The following is a 17,091-nucleotide window of genomic DNA, read 5'->3' as shown; positions in this document are numbered from 1 at the left end:
AGGAGAATCGCTTGAACCCGGGAGGTGGAGGTTGCAGTGAGCTGAGATCGCGCCACTGCACTCCAGCCTGGCGACAGAGCGAGACTCTGTCTTTAAAAGAAAAGGATACTGTAAAAGTACAAAAAAGTACTACCCATGCTATGAAGTAGGGATAATAAAATACCCATGTACTTTCCAAACTGGCTGCTCACAATAACTTTCTGGGGTTTTTCTTTTTTGTAGAGACAGGGTCTCACTACGTTGCCCAGGCTGGTCTTGAACTCCTGGCCTCAAACGATCCTCCTGCCTCTGCCTCCCAAAATGCTGGAATTACAGGCATGAGCCACAGAACCTGGCCAAATTTGTTTTTTAAAAGCATCAATTTTGTTACTTGTAATTTTTTTGTTTGTTTGTTTTGTTATGTTTTGAGACAAAGTCTAGCTCTGCCACCCAGGCTGGAATGCAATGGCGCTGTCACAGCTCACTGCAACCTTCTCCACCTCCTGGCTTCAAGTGATTCTCTTGCCTCAGCCTCCAGGGTAGCTGGGACTACAGGTGCGTGCCACCACACCCGGCTAATTTTTGTATTTTTAGTGGAGCCGGGTTTCACTATGTTGGCCAGGCTGGTGTAATTTTTAACTAGGGTAAGATTATCACCCAAAAAAATACAATCTTAAAGTTTCTGAACTCAAGTAGAAATAGAAAAGATGTTTGTCAATTTCAATGAACTAAGAAAACTGAATTGAAAATTTAAATCAATCAAAGGTAGCTGACCCTCAATCAGGAAGAAAGCTTGAGCCTTATCCTCCAAATACAGTTTACATTTTTCCTCATCTAATAGTTAAAAGAAATTATGAAACAGTGTGGGGACAGAAGAAAAAAATGCAGGAAAAAAAGAAAGAAGAGGCCGGGCGCAGGTGCTCACACCTGTAATCCCAGCACTTTGGGAGGACGAGGCGGGCAGATCACCTGAAATCAGGAGTTCAAGACCAGCCTGACCAACATGGAGAAATCCCGTCTCTACTAAAAATACAAAATTAGCCAGGCGTGGTGGCGCATGCCTGTAATCCCAGCTACTCGGGAGGCTGAGGCAGGAGAATCCCTTGAACCCAGGAGGCAGAGGTTGTGGTGAGCCGAGATCGCGCCATTGCCCTCCAGCCTGGGCAGTAAGAGTGAAACTCCGTCTCAAAAAAAAAAAAAAAAAGAAAAGGAAGAAGAAAGCCCAAATAGAGTTGTAAGAAATATAAGAAAAGGTTAATCCAGCCTTATTTACAGTAACACTAAACAGCAACAAAAACCTTAATTTTCAGGGGATAAACATACCTTCAGAACAATCACTAACAAATGACCAAATAAAACCATTTTATTTGCTCCAATTACCTTTTAAAAGGGACAAAAGCCTCTTAAGTGAAAAAAAATTTAACGAAAGCACAATTCAAGTCATCATTAACCATACAGCATTGTAACTGTGGAAAAACCAACCAAAGCTATCCATTCGCCTTCATTTGTATATTCAGCCAATGAAGTCTTGACCTAAAACCATCAGGCATCAAACTAAACTCCATCTGCTACACACATAACCTTTCTTGAAGCTAAACAATGTTATGTAGGACTTAAGATTCATATACTTGCATGTTCCTCACTTTCAGTAAAGCTTCTAAATATTACTGTTACAAATATCAGAACTTGTAAGCAACAGCTTCTGATGATATATAAAAGTTACAAGAGCATTAAAACAACAACCTACAGGTGGGGCATGGTGGACCAAGCCTGTAATCCCAACACTTTGGGAGGCCAAGGCAGCAGGATGGCTTGAGCCCAGGAGTTGCAGACCAGCCTGGGCAACAGTGAGACCCTGTCTCTTTAAGAAAAAAAAAAAAAATTAGCTGGGTGTGGTGGCATGTGCCTGTAGTCCTACCTACTTAGGAGGCTGAGGTGGGAGGACTGCTGGAGCTCAGGAGATTGAGGCTACAGTGAGCTACAACTGCGCCACTGCACTCCAGCCTAGGCAGCAGAGGGAGATCTTGCCTCAAAAAAACAACATGAACATGAATCGAGGTTGGATCTGTGTGGAGGAATGAGACTTCACAAGTGTTTCCTTTGCTTTAAATACTAGTCTTACTCAAAGCTTTAAAATTCCCAGTCTCTTATATGGTATGTCTCCCTTGTTATCAAATGCTAGAATGCATTATTCTTTCTTCATTTGTGGAGTTTCACTATTTAGACACTGTGGCACTCTGCATACATTGAGGTAATAATATTAGCACGTTTAAAGAGAAACTGTTACGCTCTGCTTCTTCGTAAACAATGTAATCCACGTTCTCATAGCATTTCCGTTATAAGAGAAAACACACACGCTTTAAAAAGACAAAACCTTCGTCTTAATTATACTTAAGTAAACCAAACGACTGGCCTTAAACTTTATAAACCAAATACTTACTGTAGACTTGATTCAAAGATACAGAAGAGAAAGTGAAACTGACCCTAATTTAAAACAAATAAGTGAAACTGATCATTCATATCCCCTAGGCAATTTGAATGAGTGACAAAGTAAAAAGAATTAGGTTTAAAATGTACAACTCTTCGAAACGTTTTGAGAGGCCACCAAAACGAGAACCTAGGATTCTGTGGTTACCTTGAAAAGGAGGCGTTAACTAGTTTCTCAAACAGTTTTGCTGTCAGGGTATTGACTTTACATAACCAACATGTTTTCCCATAAACAAGTGACCCCACGGCCTCCTAAGAGTCATTAACAAAAGTCATCTCCACTGCATGCATGTGAGAGGGGTTAAAGTCCTAGATGGGAAAACTTGTTCCGTCCAATTTTCATTTCCAACATCTGCAACGGATCCCCCGTTCCAGGTAAGCTGGCTCTTCCTGCCCCGAAAATAAAAAACGCTAGAGAGGCACACATGCTTTTGGGGACGCGCCACCCGGCTTCTCCTCTCCCTTCGGGGTGGCCGCTCCGCCCGGCGTGGGCACCTCGGACTCTCCACGGAGCAGCCAGGTGGCTAGGCCTGGGGAGGGGGCGCCCAAGGTGGGAAAACTTTGCCTCTGTTAGGGATGCAGTGGGGGCGGGGAGGCCGGCCCGGGGCTCTGAGGGGGCTCCGGGGCGGGAGGTGGCAGCCACGCGGGGGGCGGCGGGCGGGCCGGGGACGCCGGACTCCGCGGTCAGCGGCCAGCACACGCCCACCCCGGCCGCCCCGAGCCTCCCGCCTGCCTGCCCGGCCCCCAGGCCGAAGGGGCGGGCTGGGGCCGGGTGGGGGTGGGAGCGCAGTGTCCATGGCAACCAGGGGGGCCCGGCCTCGCCGCGCAGCCCGGCTACCCCGGTGCCCGCCCGCCGCGGCCGCCGCCCCCTCCCCAGCGGCCTGGCCCGGGCGGGCGGTGGCGCCGCAGCCCCCAGAGCGGCGGGGTCCCGGGCGGCCCGCGGCTGTGTAGGGGGAGGCGGGCGAGGGGCCGCACCAGCCCCCGGCGGGCCGCGCCGGCTGAGGGGCGGCCGAGCCAGCGGCGGCCCAGGCGAGCGGGCCGCTGCGCGGGCCCCATGCCGGCCTGCGGCGGGCGGGAAGGAGGCGGGAGCTTACCTGACCCGGCTCGGCGCTCGCTCCATCCCCCTCGGCCGCCGCCGCCGCCGCCGCACACAGCCCAGCCGCCCGGCGGGGGACAATGACGTGCCTCCATCCGGGCACCGCCGCCGCCGCCTCCGGGTCAGCGCCGCGCCCGCCGCGCCCCTCCGGGCCGCCGGGGGGCGCGCCAGGGCCGCGCCCGAACGCGCCGCCGCCCAGGGGCCGTCGCACAAGAAGCGCGGCGCGCAGCTAACAAGCACGGCGAGTGTGGGAGGGGTCGTCGCCCAAGAGCCGTGGGCGAAGGCAGACGTCGCGCGTCACCAGAGCGCCGGTCGGGCCGGCAGAGGGAGCGCGCTGATTGGCTGGGCTGGTCGCGCGTCTGCGCGCCGGCGAAAGGGCTCCTTCCGCCCTGTGCTTCCCTGGGCAGAGCCAGACGGCGCGCGGCGGGCGTAGGACTTTGGGCTTTCGCCTCGTCCTGCGCTTGACCCCAGATGCGTTTCCAGAAGCGGGGCACCTGGGGACGCAGGAGTCTGGGATCCCCGTCCCCCGAAAACGGACTTGGCTCCGAGAAATCCTCCGCTTCGTGGGCTTCGCCCTCTGCAACTACCTTGCGCCTCCCTTGGCCTAGCGGACGCAGCCTTTATTTTTTGTTTCTTAGAAACAAGGTCTGGGCCGGGCGCGGTGGCTCACGCCTTAATCCCAGCATTCTGGGAGGCCGAGGCGGGCGGATCACGAGGTCAGGAGTTCGAGACTAGCCTGGCCAGCATGGTGAAACCCTGTCTCTACTAAAGATACAAAAAATTAGCCGGGCGTGGTGGCGCGCGCCTGTAGTCCCAGCTACTCGGGAAGCTGAGGCAGGAGAATTGCTTGAACCCGGGAGGCGGAGGTTGCAGTGAGCCGAGATCGCGCCTCTGCACTGCAGCCCTCCAGCCTGGGCGACAGAGCGAGAGTCTGTCTCAAAAAAGAAAAGAAAAGAAACAGGGTCTGTAGCCCAGGCTGGAGTGCAATTTCACGACCTAACTCACTGCAGCTGCGACCTCCCGGGCTCAAGCGATGTTCCTGTCTTAGCCTCCCTAGCAGCTGGGGCTACGGACGCGCGCTACCACGCCCACTTAATTTTAGGGTTTTTGTTTGTTTGTTTTTGGTGTGGAGTTTTGTTTTGTAGGGACAGAGGTCTTACTGTTGCCCGGGCAGGTCTAAGATTCCTGGGCTCAAGCAGCTCCCCCTCCGTGGCTTCCCAAAGTGTTGGGATTACAGGCGTGAGCCGCTGCACCCGACTAATTTTTTAAGTTTTGTTTTTTTTTTTTTTTTTGTAGAGACGGGGGTCTCGCTATGTTGCCCAGGCTGGTTTCCAACTTCTGAGATCAAGCGATTGTCCCACCTCAGCCTCCCAAAGCGCTGGGATTACACTCCGGAGCCACCGCCCAAGACCTGATGCAGCCTTCAAGTCCGCCTGACCCCACCGGTGCGCCACTGTCCATCAGACTCACACACTGAGTTACAGAAAGGGATTTTCTTTTTCTTTTTTTTTTTTGAGACGGAGTTTGCTCTTATGGCCCAGGCTGGAGTGCAATGGTGTCATCTCGGCTCACTGCAACCTGTGCCTCCTGCCTCAGCCTCCTAAGTACCTGGGATTACAGATGCCCGCCACCACGCCCGGCTAATTTTTTGTATTTTGTAGAGACAGAGTTTCACCATGTTGGTCAGGCTGGTCTCGAACTCCTGACCTCAGGTGTGGAATTTTAAACCTGGCTCTGAAGGGGATAGACCCCTGTTCACCCCGTCCAGATTTTATCTCAAATCCTAGCATTGTACAGGCTTAGGAGACAACTGGACCAGTTCTTGCTCCAGAGTGCCAGATCCACACATCCAATCATTTATTGGCTGTCTCCACCTCGAGGCCTAACAGAGCTAGTTCATCTCTGCATCTCCCCTCCACCATGAGCCTGCTTCTCCCTGCACTGATTAAGGACCTGGTATTCTGTGCTCACCAGACCTTTCCTCTCTCACTGCCTCTTTCCCTCCCCTGGTGATCTAACCCTTTACACCAACTCATGTTTACCTGGCCTCCCCAGCGGCTGCTGTCCTGACCCTCCCTGAGTCAGCCTTTCTTCGCTCAACAATTCCATCTCAACAGTCTCTTCTCTGTTGCTGCACTCCCCACCCTACAGTGGCTTGGGTGGTCTTCCAAAAACCGTCAGATCACTTGACTCCCCCACTCTGAGCATTCTATGGCTCACAGCAAAGTCTAAATTCCTTAGCTAGGTATCAGAAACTCCAAGTTCCCTTTCCTCTTTTATGTGTTTCAACCATAACACACTCCTCAATTCCAGTACCCAGCCCTACCCCACTACTACATCTGCTTGTAGAAAGCCCACCCATGCTGCCTCTTCTGCGCAGCCCACAGTGTGTCCCCACAGGCACAGCCCACCACACCTGGCTAATCTTTATTTTTTTAGAGACGGGCTCGCTATGTTGCCCAGGTTGGTTGTGAACCCCTGGCCTCAAGGGATCCTCTGCTTGGACCTCCCAAAGTGCTGGGATTACAGGCATGAGCCACCACACCAACCCAGCTTCATTTTCCATTTCACGCTGTTGACAAACTGGTCCCTCCAGGCTGCCCCTTAAATCTTAGTAGAATCTGGGCGTGGTGGCTCACGCCTGTAATCCCAGCACTTTGGGAAGCCGAGGCGGGCAGATCACAAGATCAGGAGTTCGAGACCAGCCTGGCCAATATGCTGAAACTCTGTCTCTACTAAAAATACAAAAATCAGTTGGCTGTGGTGATGGCACCTGTAATCCCAGCTACTGGGAGGCTGAGGCAGGAGAATCGCTTGAACCTGGGAGGCAGAGGTTGCAGTGAGCCGAGATCGCGACACTGCACTCTAGCCTGGGCAACAGAGTGAGATTCCGTCTGTCTCAAAAAAAAAAAAAAAAAAAATCTTAGGAGACTACCTGAGCAACTTAAATAGAAAAGGTATTTTTTGTGAATTAAGGTGGAATGTCACCCTGTCTCCTAGAACAGTCTCGGCTCACTGCAACCTCCACCTCCCAGGTTCAAGCAATTCTTCTGCCTCAGGGACTACAAGCACACACCACTGTACCCGGCTAATTTTTTTTTTTTTTGTAGTTTTAGTAGAGATGGGGTTTCACCATGTTGGTCAGGCTGGACTCGAACTCCTGGCCTCAAGTGATCTGCCCACCTCAGCCTCCCAAAGTGCTGGGATTGCAGGCGTGAGCCACTGCGCCCAGTCAGAAAAGGAGTTCTTTTTAAATCATCTCTTGGCGTTGTCTACCCAGAACAGGCTCTAAGGTTGGAGGGGATGGGGGGTTACACCTCCCCCTCTACCTTGCCCCATGCCATCAAAGCAAACATAGAGACCCTTTTCCTCTAAGGAGCTAGCACCACTTACTCTAGCAAACTGGCAACATTAATGGAGAAGTCACAAAGCATATGAAGACATCCCTGCCTACAAACAGCTGGGGCCTTGGCTGAGATGATAAACTGGCCCCAAAACCTTGTTCTCCTCCAGATCAGAGTGTAATCCAGAGTGAATGCTGCCTGGAGAAGTCACTTTTCCTCTGTTCTTATAAGCTCTGTGACCTACAGAAATTACTTAACCTGTTTCCTTTATTGAAATGGTTTTTATGCAAGACGCAAACTGATTCCAAGTGCCCCACCCTCAAGTCCGAAGGCTCACAGGATCATGGAACAATAGGTGTCAGGAAGGGGTGAATTTTATTTTCTGAGGACCTCCAGACTTAGGGAGCCTGCAGTGGGCACTGTTAATGCCCCACCCAGGTCCTCCTTACTGGCGGATGCTTCCATCCCTTGTCTGCTGCTGTGGTGTTCGCTGCTTATAACTCACAGCTGCCTCTTCTCCTGAGGCTGTTCTTAGCTGAAGGGGAGACTCATCTCCCACTGAGACAATATTGTTGCTCCACTCCTTTCACTGCCCTTTCCTTTCATTACCTTCCTCCCTAGAGCGCTCCCCTCAAGGCCAAATTGTACCTAAATCTTGTGCGCCTAAATTCTGTCTCAAGCCTCACTTCTAGATATCCTGGTTTAAGACAGTGGGTACCAGCCAGGCTCAGTGGCACACACCTATAGTCCCAGCCCTTTGGGAGGCCAAGGCAAGCAGATCACTTGAGGTCAGGAGTTCAAGACCAGCGTGACCAACATGGTGAAACCCCATCTCTTCTAAAAATACAAAAAATTAGCTGAGTGTGGTAGCGCGCGCCTATAATCCCAGCTACTCAGGAGGCTGAGGCAGGAGAATTGCTGGAACCTGGGAGGTGGGCTTGCACCACTGCACTACAGCCTGGGGCAACAGAGCGAGACTCCCGTCTCAAAAAAAAAAAAAAAAAGACAGTGGATACCAAGAATAGTCCCTAAGAAACAGAGTGTAAAAATGTCCAGGTGCCAGGCACAGTGGCTCCCGCCTGTAATCCCAGCACTTTGAGAGGCTGAGATGAGCAGATAACCTGAGGTCAGGAGTTCGAGACAAGCCTGGCCAACATGGTGAAACCCCGTCTCTACTAAAAATACAAAAATTAGCCGGGCATGGTTGCAAGCACCTGTAATCCCAGCTACTTGGGAGGCTGAGGCAAGAGAATCGCTTGAACCCAGGAGGCGGAGGTTGAAATGAGCTGAGGCCATACCATTGCACTCCAGCCTGGGCAACAAGAGCGAAACTCCGTATTAAAAAACCATAAAATAAATAAATAAATAAATCTCCAGGCAATGGATGGGACACTCACAGCTGGGCAACAGTATCAGGCGCCCATCTAGGGGGACTAGTTAGGGCTGGATATGAGTAGAAGGGGATGTGTTGGCTTATTCAATCTCTCTGGTTTTTGAGGATATAGGAGAAGTAGTCATTAGAACTGTGAAATTGGGCCAGGTGCGGTGACTCACACCTGTAATCCCAGCACTTTAGGAGGCTGAGGCCGGAAGATCGCTTGAGGCCAGGAGTTCAAGACCAGCCTGGGCAACATAGTGAGCCCCAGTCTCTACCAATAATAATAATAATAATAATAATAATAGACTTGTGAAATTTGGTAGTAATAGAATTTTTTTTTTTTTTTGAGAGGGAGTCTCGTTCTGTCACCCAGGCTGGACTGCAGTGGTGTGATCTTGGCTAACTGCAACCTCCACCTCCCAGGTTTAAGTGATTCTCCTGCCTCCGCCTCCCAGGTAGCTGGGATTATAGGCACCCACCACAATGCCCAGATAATTTTTGTATTTTTAGTAGAGATGGGGTTTCACCATATTGGCAAGGCTGCTCTTGAAATCCTGACCTCAAATGATCTCCCTGCCTTGGCCTCCCAAAATGCTGGGATTACAGGCATGAGCCACTGTGCCCGGATGGTAATAACAGATCCTTTAAAGAGGGAAAATTGGGGCAGGTGCGGTGGCTCACACCTGTAATCCTAACACTCTGGGAGGCTGAGGCAGGTGGATCACCTGAGGTCAGGAGTTTGAGACCCGCCTGCCCAACATACTGAACCCCATCTCTACTAAAAATACAAAAATTGGCCAGGCACAGTGGCTCACGCCTGTAATCCCAGCACTTTGGGAGGCCGAGGCGGGCAGATCATGAGGTCAGGAGATTGAGACAATCCTGGCTAACACTGTGAAACCCCATCTGTACTAAAAATACAAAAAATTAGCCGGGCATGGTGGCGGGTGCCTGTAGTCCCAGCTACTGGGGAGGCTAAGGCAGGAGAATCTCTTGAACCTGGGAGGCCTAGGTTGCAATGAGCTGAGATCGCGCCACTGCACTCCAGCCTGGGCAACAGAACGAGACTCCGTCTCAAAAAAAAAAAAAAAAAAAAAGAGAGGGAACAATGGGGCTCCAGGCAATTAGTCAGTAATATAAAGTGAGAAAGCCAGAGAGCAGAGCCTCCTCAGCAGTCTGTCATCTATAATCAGAGGGCAGACAGTCCTGAAAACCAGGCAGAGGACTTAACCTAAAAGGAGCAGAACATTAGAAAAGGTTGAATTTTCAGCTACTATCAGTCTCTAACACCAAAGTCAGGACTCTAATAAGGAAGGAGTGAGACCCTGAGACAAAGGACAGGACTCTAATGTCCGTAGAACTTCAAGCTCCTCTGAACTCTTTGTTCAAGAATGGTACCACCAACCCGAAGACTATGCAGACACCTCAAATGAGGTAGGTACCCTACAAGACAATGCATTCTTGGCAGGGCATGGTGGCTCATGCCTGTAATCCCAGCACTCTGAGAGGCCGAGGCAGACAGACCACTTGAAATCAGGAGTTCAAGACCAGCCTGGCCAACATGGTGAAACCCCGTCTCTACTAAAAAATACAAAAATTAGCCAGGTGTGGTGGTGCACATCCCAGCTACTCAGGAGGCTGAGGCAGGAGAATCGTTTGAACCGGGGAGGCGGAGGTTGCAGTGAGCTGAGATCATGCCACTGCATTCCAGCCTGGGCGACAGTTAAGAGTGAGACTCTGTCTCAAGAAAAACAAAAAACAAGAAAACAATGCATTCTTTCTGTTCCTGTATCCCCCTGGCCACCAGATAAATCACCAAGATCAGATACCATCACGCCTGCTAAGGGAGGAGTGGAATCAAAAATTGAAGGAACTGCAAGACCAGGCTAATACACACCAGCAGAAACTGAAAATAAGCCCGGGAATGGATACTACGGGGCCTAGATCAAGGGGTGAGGGGTGAGGGCTGGGGAGCAGATAAGAGAGAGTTTATAGATATGTGGGCACTTTCCTTTAATACAGATCTCACACTTTGTCAAGGATGCTGGGTGGGCAGGTTCTGATACATCATGGGACTGGTATTTGACAATAGAAATAAGCTACATGGGCTGGGCGCGGTGGCTCACGCCTGTAATCCCAGCACTTTGGGAGGCCAAGGTGGAAGGATCACGAGTTCAGAAGATCAAGACCATCCTGGCCAACATGGTGAAACCCGTCTCTACTAAAAATACAAAACTTAGCTGTGGGGTAGTGGTGTGTGCCTGTAATCCCAGCTACTCAGGAGGCTGAGGCAGGAGAATCGCTTAAACCAGGGAGTTGAAGTTTGCAGTGAGGCAAGATTGTGTCACAGCACTCCAGCCTGGCAACAGAGTGAGACTCCATCTCAAAAAAAAAAAAAAAAGAAAAGAAAGAAAAAGAAGGCCGGGCGCGGTGGCTCACGCCTGTAGTCCCAGCACTTTGGGAGGCCGAGGCGGGCGGATCACGAGGTCAGGAGATCGAGACCATCCTTGCTAACATGGTAAAACCCCGCCTCTACTAAAAATGCAAAAAATTAGCGGGGCATGGTGGCGGCCGCCTGTAGTCACAGCAACTCGGGAGGCTGAGGCAGGAGAATGGCATGATCCCGGAAGGCGGAGTTTGCAGTGAGCTGAGATTGTGCCACTGCACTCCAGCCTGGGTGACAGAGCAAGACTCTGTCTCGAAAAAAAAAAAGAAAAGAAAAAGAAATAACCCACATGGCTGGGCGCAGTGGCTTATGCTTGTAATCACAACACTTTGGGAGACTGAACTGGGAGGATCACTTGAGGCCAGGAATTGGAGGCTGCGGTGAGCTATGATCATGCAACGGCACACTTCAGCCTGTGCTCTGTCTTCAGGGCAACAGTGCATGAGCCTGTCTCCAAAAAAAAAAAAAAAAAAAAAGGACCCACAGGGACCTAATTTTAGATGCCATGAATTCCATGGCAGATACTGGAGGAAGCGAGTGCTACTCTCAGGGAAGAGGACATGCTAAAATGCATGCTACCAGCTGGTGACATTCCATCACAAGGCCTGGAAAACACCGTTTTACCAGGACCACGGAGGGCAGAGACAGCATCAGCTGTGTTGGAAAAGTGGTACCCCGAGGTGGCTGTCATGTATAAGCCAGGGCTAATAACAGGAGATGCTGTTACAGAACTGGGCTGTCTGGTAGCAAAGAGGATGATAGCAGCCCGTCTCTACTAAACATACAAAATTAGCCAGGCATGGTGGCATGTGCCTGTAGTCACAGCTACTTGGGAGGCTGAGGCAAGAGAATCACTTGAACCCGGGAGCCAAGATCATGCCACAGCACTCCAGCATGGATGACAGAGGAAGACTGTCTCAAAAAAAAAAAGAAAAGAAAGAAAGAAAGAAAATGATGGCATCCTGGAGTGTCAGAGACTGGGTAGCAGTGCTTACGCAGCAGAAGGTGGGCATGATTGGTACAGTGAGCAGCAAGCCAGAGTAGCAGATGGGAGGCACTGACTTGCAGGGATCCAAGGCAATGGCTAATAAAACACAGGGCAAGACAGGCTGTCAACAAAAGCACAGTATATATCATTGTAAGCAGACAAGGAGGATCTCCAGGGATTATAGGAACTTGGGATTAATCTCCAGGGATTAATCAACTTGTGCAATCAGCCTGTTTCACAGCCTCCTGCTCTGCACCTGTTCTTCCCCAAACCTTGGATGGAATGCAGTCACCTTGTTAGTTTAAACCAGCTCCTGACAGACCCCAACAACGTACAGATGAACCTGAGTGAACTCTCTGCATGACCATGCTAAAGTATCCATCCCGTGAGAAGTTATAGCTTCATTCCCATCACATGCAACCTATGGGCTGGCAGGATGACTCACTGCATCTGCACCATTGGGATCCCTCCTCTCCATGCAATGATGCACCCATCTCCCCTCTCCATCACCCCATAAAACCCTACTGTCACTTTCCCTTGGGGAGACTCTGCTTTGGAGAATACTCCCAGTGTTCTTACTGGCACCAAGTAATAAGCTGGTCTCGAACTGCTGGCCTCAAGTGATCTGCCCACCACAGCCTCCCAAAGTGCTGGGATTACAGGCGTGAGCCACCACGCCTGGCCAGGTATACCTATATGTCTATAATAACCTGGTTGTGTAGAAGACTGAGGTTAGCTGTCTCAGTGGAAAAACACGAACATCTGCCCAGATTCCCCCACCTGAGCCAGTTCTCAATTCCAAAACATGCATCCAGGCTGGGTGAGGTGGCTCAGACCTGGAATCCCAATGCTTGGGAAGCTGGGGCAGATGGATGATTTGAGTCTAGGAATTCGAGACCAACCTGAGCACAGTAAGACTCTGTCTCTACAAAAAAATAAATTAAAAAAAAAAGCCAAGTATGGTGGCACCTGTGGTCCCAGTTACTCAGGAGGCTGAGGCAGGAGGATTGCTTGAGCCTGGGAGGTGTAGACTGCAGTGAGATGTGACCACACCACTGCAGCCCGGGTAACAGTGAGACCCTGTCTCAAAAACAAAAATCGAAATACCCATCCAGTAAAGGAGAAGCCAGATCCCATGCAAGTGTACACAGTAGGGATTTTCCAAGTCCTGCCCCAAAGAGACCTCTGGCCATTTTTTTTGTTTTTTAGACGGAGTCTTGCACTGTTGCCCAGGCTGGAGTGCAGTGGCGCAATCTCAGCTCATTGCAACCTCCGCCTCCCAGGTTCAAGTGATTCTCCTGCCTCAGCTTCCCAAGTAGCTGGGATTACAGGTGCCTGCCACCACGCCCAGCTAATTTTTTGTATTTTTAGTAGACACGGGGTTTCACTATGTTGGCGAGGCTGGTCTCAAACTCCTGACTTCGTGATCTGCCTGCCTCAACCTGCCAAAGTGCTGGGATTACAGGCGTGAGCCACCACACCCGGCCCCTCTGGCCATTTAATTTACTCCGTAATTATATGCTGGGGAATAGGGGTCTGCTCAGATATTTCCAGGCTTTTGCTTACAGAGTCCAAGTTAACGCAGCTCTAAAGCACCCTCAGGGTTCCCTTATTGCTAAGGGATCAAGTTAATACCTTTGGTCCTGACCCACATCCCTCACTGGGTTCACTGAGCCCACAGTGGTCAATTCCCTGGTTCCCAAATGTGATACTCAAATAGTCATACTTAGCAACTGGTTCCTTGACTTACAGCATTAAGAGCTATTGTAGCACAGAAAGCCAAGTGGGGCTGGGCACGGTGGCTCACACCTATAATGCCAGCACTTTGGGAGGCCCAGACGGGCAGATCCCTTGAGGTTAGGAGTTCAAGACCAGCCTGGCCAACATGGCGAAACTCCATCTCTACTAAAAATACAAAAATTAGCCAGATGTGGTGGCAAGCACCTGTAATCCCAGCTACTCAGGAGGCTGAGGCAGGAGAATCGCTTGAACCTGGGAGGCGGAGGTTGCAATGAGCCGAGATTGCGTCACTGTACTCCAGCCTGGGTGACCAAAAAAAAAAAAAAGCCAAGTGGAACAAGTGGAAGCCCTGAAACTGCCCCCTCTGGCCAAAAGAGTAAGTTGGTGGGGCTGAGGGTGGAGGTTGATGGGAGAAAATCGCAGAGAATAGTGCCATGCTCAGAGGGTTAAAGGATGCAAGGCTGGTGTCTCCATCATCTGCTCATTTAATTTACCAGTCTGACCCCTGCAAAAACTGGATGAACCATCATAGGTGACAATGAACTACTGCAAACATAATCCTCAAGGACTCATCTAGCACCAGCTTAATTCCACCGCTACCCACTCCATCCTTTGGAGTTCTTCTACATCCACAACAGAATGGAGTTGTGTTTAGAATCTCTCAGGCTGGGCTTAGTGGCTCATGCCTGTAATCCCAGCACTTTAGGAGGCCGAGGAAGGAAGATCGCTTGAGGCTAAGAGTTCAAGACCAGCCTGGGCAATATAGGGAGACCCTGACTCTACAAAAAATAAAAAATTAGCCAGGTGCTGGTGCATGCCTGTAGTCCCAGCTACTAAGGAGGCTGAGGTGGGAGGATCGCTTGAGCCCAGGAGGTCAAGGGTCCAGTGAGCTATTATGGCACGATGGCACTCCAGCCTGGGTGACAAAGCAAGACCCTGTCTTAAAAACAACAGGCCGGGCATGGTGGCTCATGCCTGTAATCCCAGCACTTCAGGAGGCTGAGGCAGGTGGATCACGAGGTCAGGAGTTCAAGACCAGACTGACCAACATGGTGAAACCCCGTCTCTACTAAAAATACAAAAAAAATTAGCCGGGTGTGGTGGCACGCACCAGCTACTCAGGAGGCTGAGGAAGGAGAATCACTTCAACCCGGGAGGTGGAGGTTGCAGTGAGCCCACATCGCGCCATGCACTCCAGCCTGGGTGACAGAGTGAGACTCCATCTTAAAAAAACAAAATAACCTTGTAGTTGATCCTCCTTTTTCTGAAACCCTGAGAGCAAACATGAACAAGGTCTTTTAACTCTTATAGATTTTACAACCACTATGAAAAAAACAAAGAAGAAAATATATAAACAGTGAAAAATAGATTGGTCACAAAATACATTCAAAAGAAGTACCTACCATATTTTACCACAAAAAAGTAAAGAAGGGAGGGGGAGAGAAAGAGGGAGAGGAAGAGAAAAAAAGAGAGAAAGGAAGAAAGAGGTAAGGAAAGGAGAGGGGAGGGGTGGGGGAAGGAGGGAAGCAAGGTGAAAGAAAGAAAAAAGAGAAAAGAAAGAGAGAGGCACATGCCTGTAATCCCAGCACTTTGAGAGGCTGAGGCGGGAGAATCGCTTGAGATCAGGAGTTCGAGACCAGCCTGGCCAACATGGTTTTGGTTTCTATCAAAAAATACAAAAGTTACCCGAGCATGGTGGTGCATGCCTGTAGTCCCAGTTACTCGGGAATCTGAGGCATGAGAATCACTTGAACTCGGGAGGTGGAGGTTGCAGTGAGCTGAAATCCTGCCACTGCACTCCAGCCTGGGCAACAGAGTGAGACTTGGTCCCAAGGCAAAAAAAAAGAGAGAGAAGAAAAGAAGGAAGGAGGGAAGAAAGGAAGAAAGGAAGGAGGAAGAGAGGGAGGGAGGGAGGAAGGAAGAAAGGAAGGAAAGGGAAGGAAGGAAGGGAGAGAGGGAGGGAAGGAAGGGAAGGGAGGGAGGGAGAGAGGGAGGGAAAGGAAAGGAAGGAAGAAAGAGTACCTTCCGTTTACTCAGAGTGCTCAGATGACACCAATCAATAGACTTGTCCCAGCAGCCCACACGGAGACTCAGTCACAGAGAGCACTGTTTGGAAACAGACACACTAGATGTAAATTCCAGCTCCAGCTTATATTTATCTGTTAAGTTCTCTGAACCTTACTTCAGACTCTCATGAAATGAAAGGCTGTTTTAATTTATCTTAAGCCAAGTTTATCCTAATGGATGATTAACACCACTTCCCTGCACACCAACATAAGACATTAAAGTGTGAAAGTGTTCAAGGAGGGATATATTTAATCTTCTGAGGACCGGTGTCTCCTAGGAAGGAAATCTGAGACTGTGGCTGGCCAGGTCTTAGACCCAGCTTGTTTTTAGGAGACAGATCCCAAATCTCTCCTTTATGGATTGACAAAATATTAATTTAGAATTAAGAGGGGGTCATTGGAGATGCTGTGCCTACTTTCCAGAGACTATTTTGTTTGGAACCCGGAGCTGTGGGTGTTAATTAGTTATTACACATTGTCATGATGCCTCAAATGAGGAAGGTAATACTTAGTGGATGGGTTTACCCCTGAAGTGGATGCTGTTCAGGAAAAGTTTTACAACAGAAATGGCACTTGAAATAGGTCCTTGAGGCCGGGCGTGGTGGCGCATGCCTGTAATCCCAGAACTTTGAGAGCCCAAGGTGGGCAGATCCCCTGAGGTCAGGAGTTCAAGACCAGCCTGGCCAACATGGTGAAACCCCATCTCTACTAAAAATACAAAAACTAGCTGGGTGTGGTGGGAGGTGCCTATAATCCCAGCTACTCAGGAGGTCTGAGGCAGGTGAATCACTTGAACCCAGGAGGCGGAGGTTGCAGTGAGCTGAGATCACACCACTGCACTCCAGCCTGGGCGACAAAGCGAGAATCTGTCTCAAAAAAAAAAAAAAAAAGAGAAGAAGAAGAAAGAAGAAGAAGAAGAGGAAGAGGAAGAAGAAGAAGAAGAAGGAAGAGGAAGAAGAAGAAGAAGAGGAGGAAGAAGAAGAAGAGGAAGAGGAAGAAGAAGAAGAAGAAGAAAGAAGAAGAAGAAGAAGAAGAAGAAGAAGAAGAAGAAGAAGAAGAAGAAGAAGAAGAAGAAGAAGAAGAAGAAGAAAAAATACGTCCTTGAGGACTAAGTAGGATTTTTTCCAGGCAGATATCGAATAGAAAAAGGATGCCAGCCAGCATTTCAGGAAGAAATGCCGATTGAGAGTGCTGTGGTGCACCCCTGTAGTCCCAGCTATTTGGGAGGCTGTGGTGGGAGGGATCAAGCCCAGTTGGGGCAAAATAGCTAGACACCACCCCACTTTGCACCCCCATCCCCCACTGTCTCCAAAAAAATTTTTTTACCAGACTATTAAATCAGCAACATATATATGTGTGTGTGTGTGTGTGTGTGTGTGTGTGTGTGTATGCTAACATAATGATTAAATATGGTTCCTGTTTTTTTGGCTAATATAAAAAAACAAGAATAAAATTAATATGGGGGTGAGAATGAGAATCAATATAATCAATAGAAACCCAATTATAGTATAATACGGTAGCTGACTAGACGCTATGTATGGCACTGGGCATGGCGGCTCAAGCCTGT

The 17,091-nt window shown here is 49.8% G+C and overlaps 1 protein-coding gene across 16 annotated transcripts in view, besides 8 other annotated features; it reads right to left on the bottom strand.

Annotated features, from left to right (window-relative positions):
- USP42 (ubiquitin specific peptidase 42) overlaps window positions 1-17,091 on the bottom strand; it is an 80,324-nt gene that overhangs the window by 52,972 nt on the left and 10,261 nt on the right. For 11 of the 16 annotated variants that reach the window (XM_047420940.1, XM_047420938.1, XM_024446969.2 and 8 more), the window contains one exon: window positions 15,481-15,564. The gene's annotated coding sequence lies outside the window, so the exon portion shown is untranslated. Of the gene's footprint in view, window positions 1-2,614; window positions 3,194-3,560; window positions 3,645-15,480; window positions 15,565-17,091 lie in introns of those variants that run through there. The other 5 variants (NM_032172.3, NM_001389650.1, NM_001365764.1 and 2 more) reach the window with 2 other exon arrangements.
- Window positions 2,279-2,348: a silencer, noted in NCBI's record as "silent region_17937". NCBI's record gives its function as "represses an Ori minimal core promoter by ATAC-STARR-seq in GM12878 lymphoblastoid cells {active_cell/tissue: GM12878}" and the evidence as "EXISTENCE:reporter gene assay evidence [ECO:0000049][PMID:35858748]".
- Window positions 3,459-3,508: a silencer, noted in NCBI's record as "silent region_17936". NCBI's record gives its function as "represses an Ori minimal core promoter by ATAC-STARR-seq in GM12878 lymphoblastoid cells {active_cell/tissue: GM12878}" and the evidence as "EXISTENCE:reporter gene assay evidence [ECO:0000049][PMID:35858748]".
- Window positions 3,659-3,748: a silencer, noted in NCBI's record as "silent region_17935". NCBI's record gives its function as "represses an Ori minimal core promoter by ATAC-STARR-seq in GM12878 lymphoblastoid cells {active_cell/tissue: GM12878}" and the evidence as "EXISTENCE:reporter gene assay evidence [ECO:0000049][PMID:35858748]".
- Window positions 4,009-4,228: an enhancer, noted in NCBI's record as "active region_25618". NCBI's record gives its function as "activates an Ori minimal core promoter by ATAC-STARR-seq in GM12878 lymphoblastoid cells {active_cell/tissue: GM12878}" and the evidence as "EXISTENCE:reporter gene assay evidence [ECO:0000049][PMID:35858748]".
- Window positions 4,009-4,711: a biological region, named in NCBI's record as "H3K27ac-H3K4me1 hESC enhancer GRCh37_chr7:6143513-6144112".
- Window positions 4,112-4,711: an enhancer, noted in NCBI's record as "H3K27ac-H3K4me1 hESC enhancer chr7:6143513-6144112 (GRCh37/hg19 assembly coordinates)". NCBI's record gives its function as "activates a minimal SCP1, AML or CMV promoter by ChIP-STARR-seq in naive H9 embryonic stem cells {active_cell/tissue: H9 hESC(naive)}" and the evidence as "EXISTENCE:reporter gene assay evidence [ECO:0000049][PMID:30033119]".
- Window positions 4,249-4,298: an enhancer, noted in NCBI's record as "active region_25617". NCBI's record gives its function as "activates an Ori minimal core promoter by ATAC-STARR-seq in GM12878 lymphoblastoid cells {active_cell/tissue: GM12878}" and the evidence as "EXISTENCE:reporter gene assay evidence [ECO:0000049][PMID:35858748]".
- Window positions 6,872-7,095: a silencer, noted in NCBI's record as "fragment chr7:6141129-6141352 (GRCh37/hg19 assembly coordinates)". NCBI's record gives its function as "represses an EF-1alpha promoter that drives an FKBP-Casp9 reporter gene in an ReSE screen in K562 erythroleukemia cells {active_cell/tissue: K562}" and the evidence as "EXISTENCE:reporter gene assay evidence [ECO:0000049][PMID:32094911]".

This window comes from Homo sapiens, chromosome 7, assembly GCF_000001405.40.
Source record: "Homo sapiens chromosome 7, GRCh38.p14 Primary Assembly".
NCBI classification, from domain to species: Eukaryota; Metazoa; Chordata; class Mammalia; order Primates; family Hominidae; genus Homo; species Homo sapiens.
The sequence above is the reverse complement of the archived record's forward strand: the minus strand, read 5'-3'. Positions and strand labels throughout refer to the sequence as shown.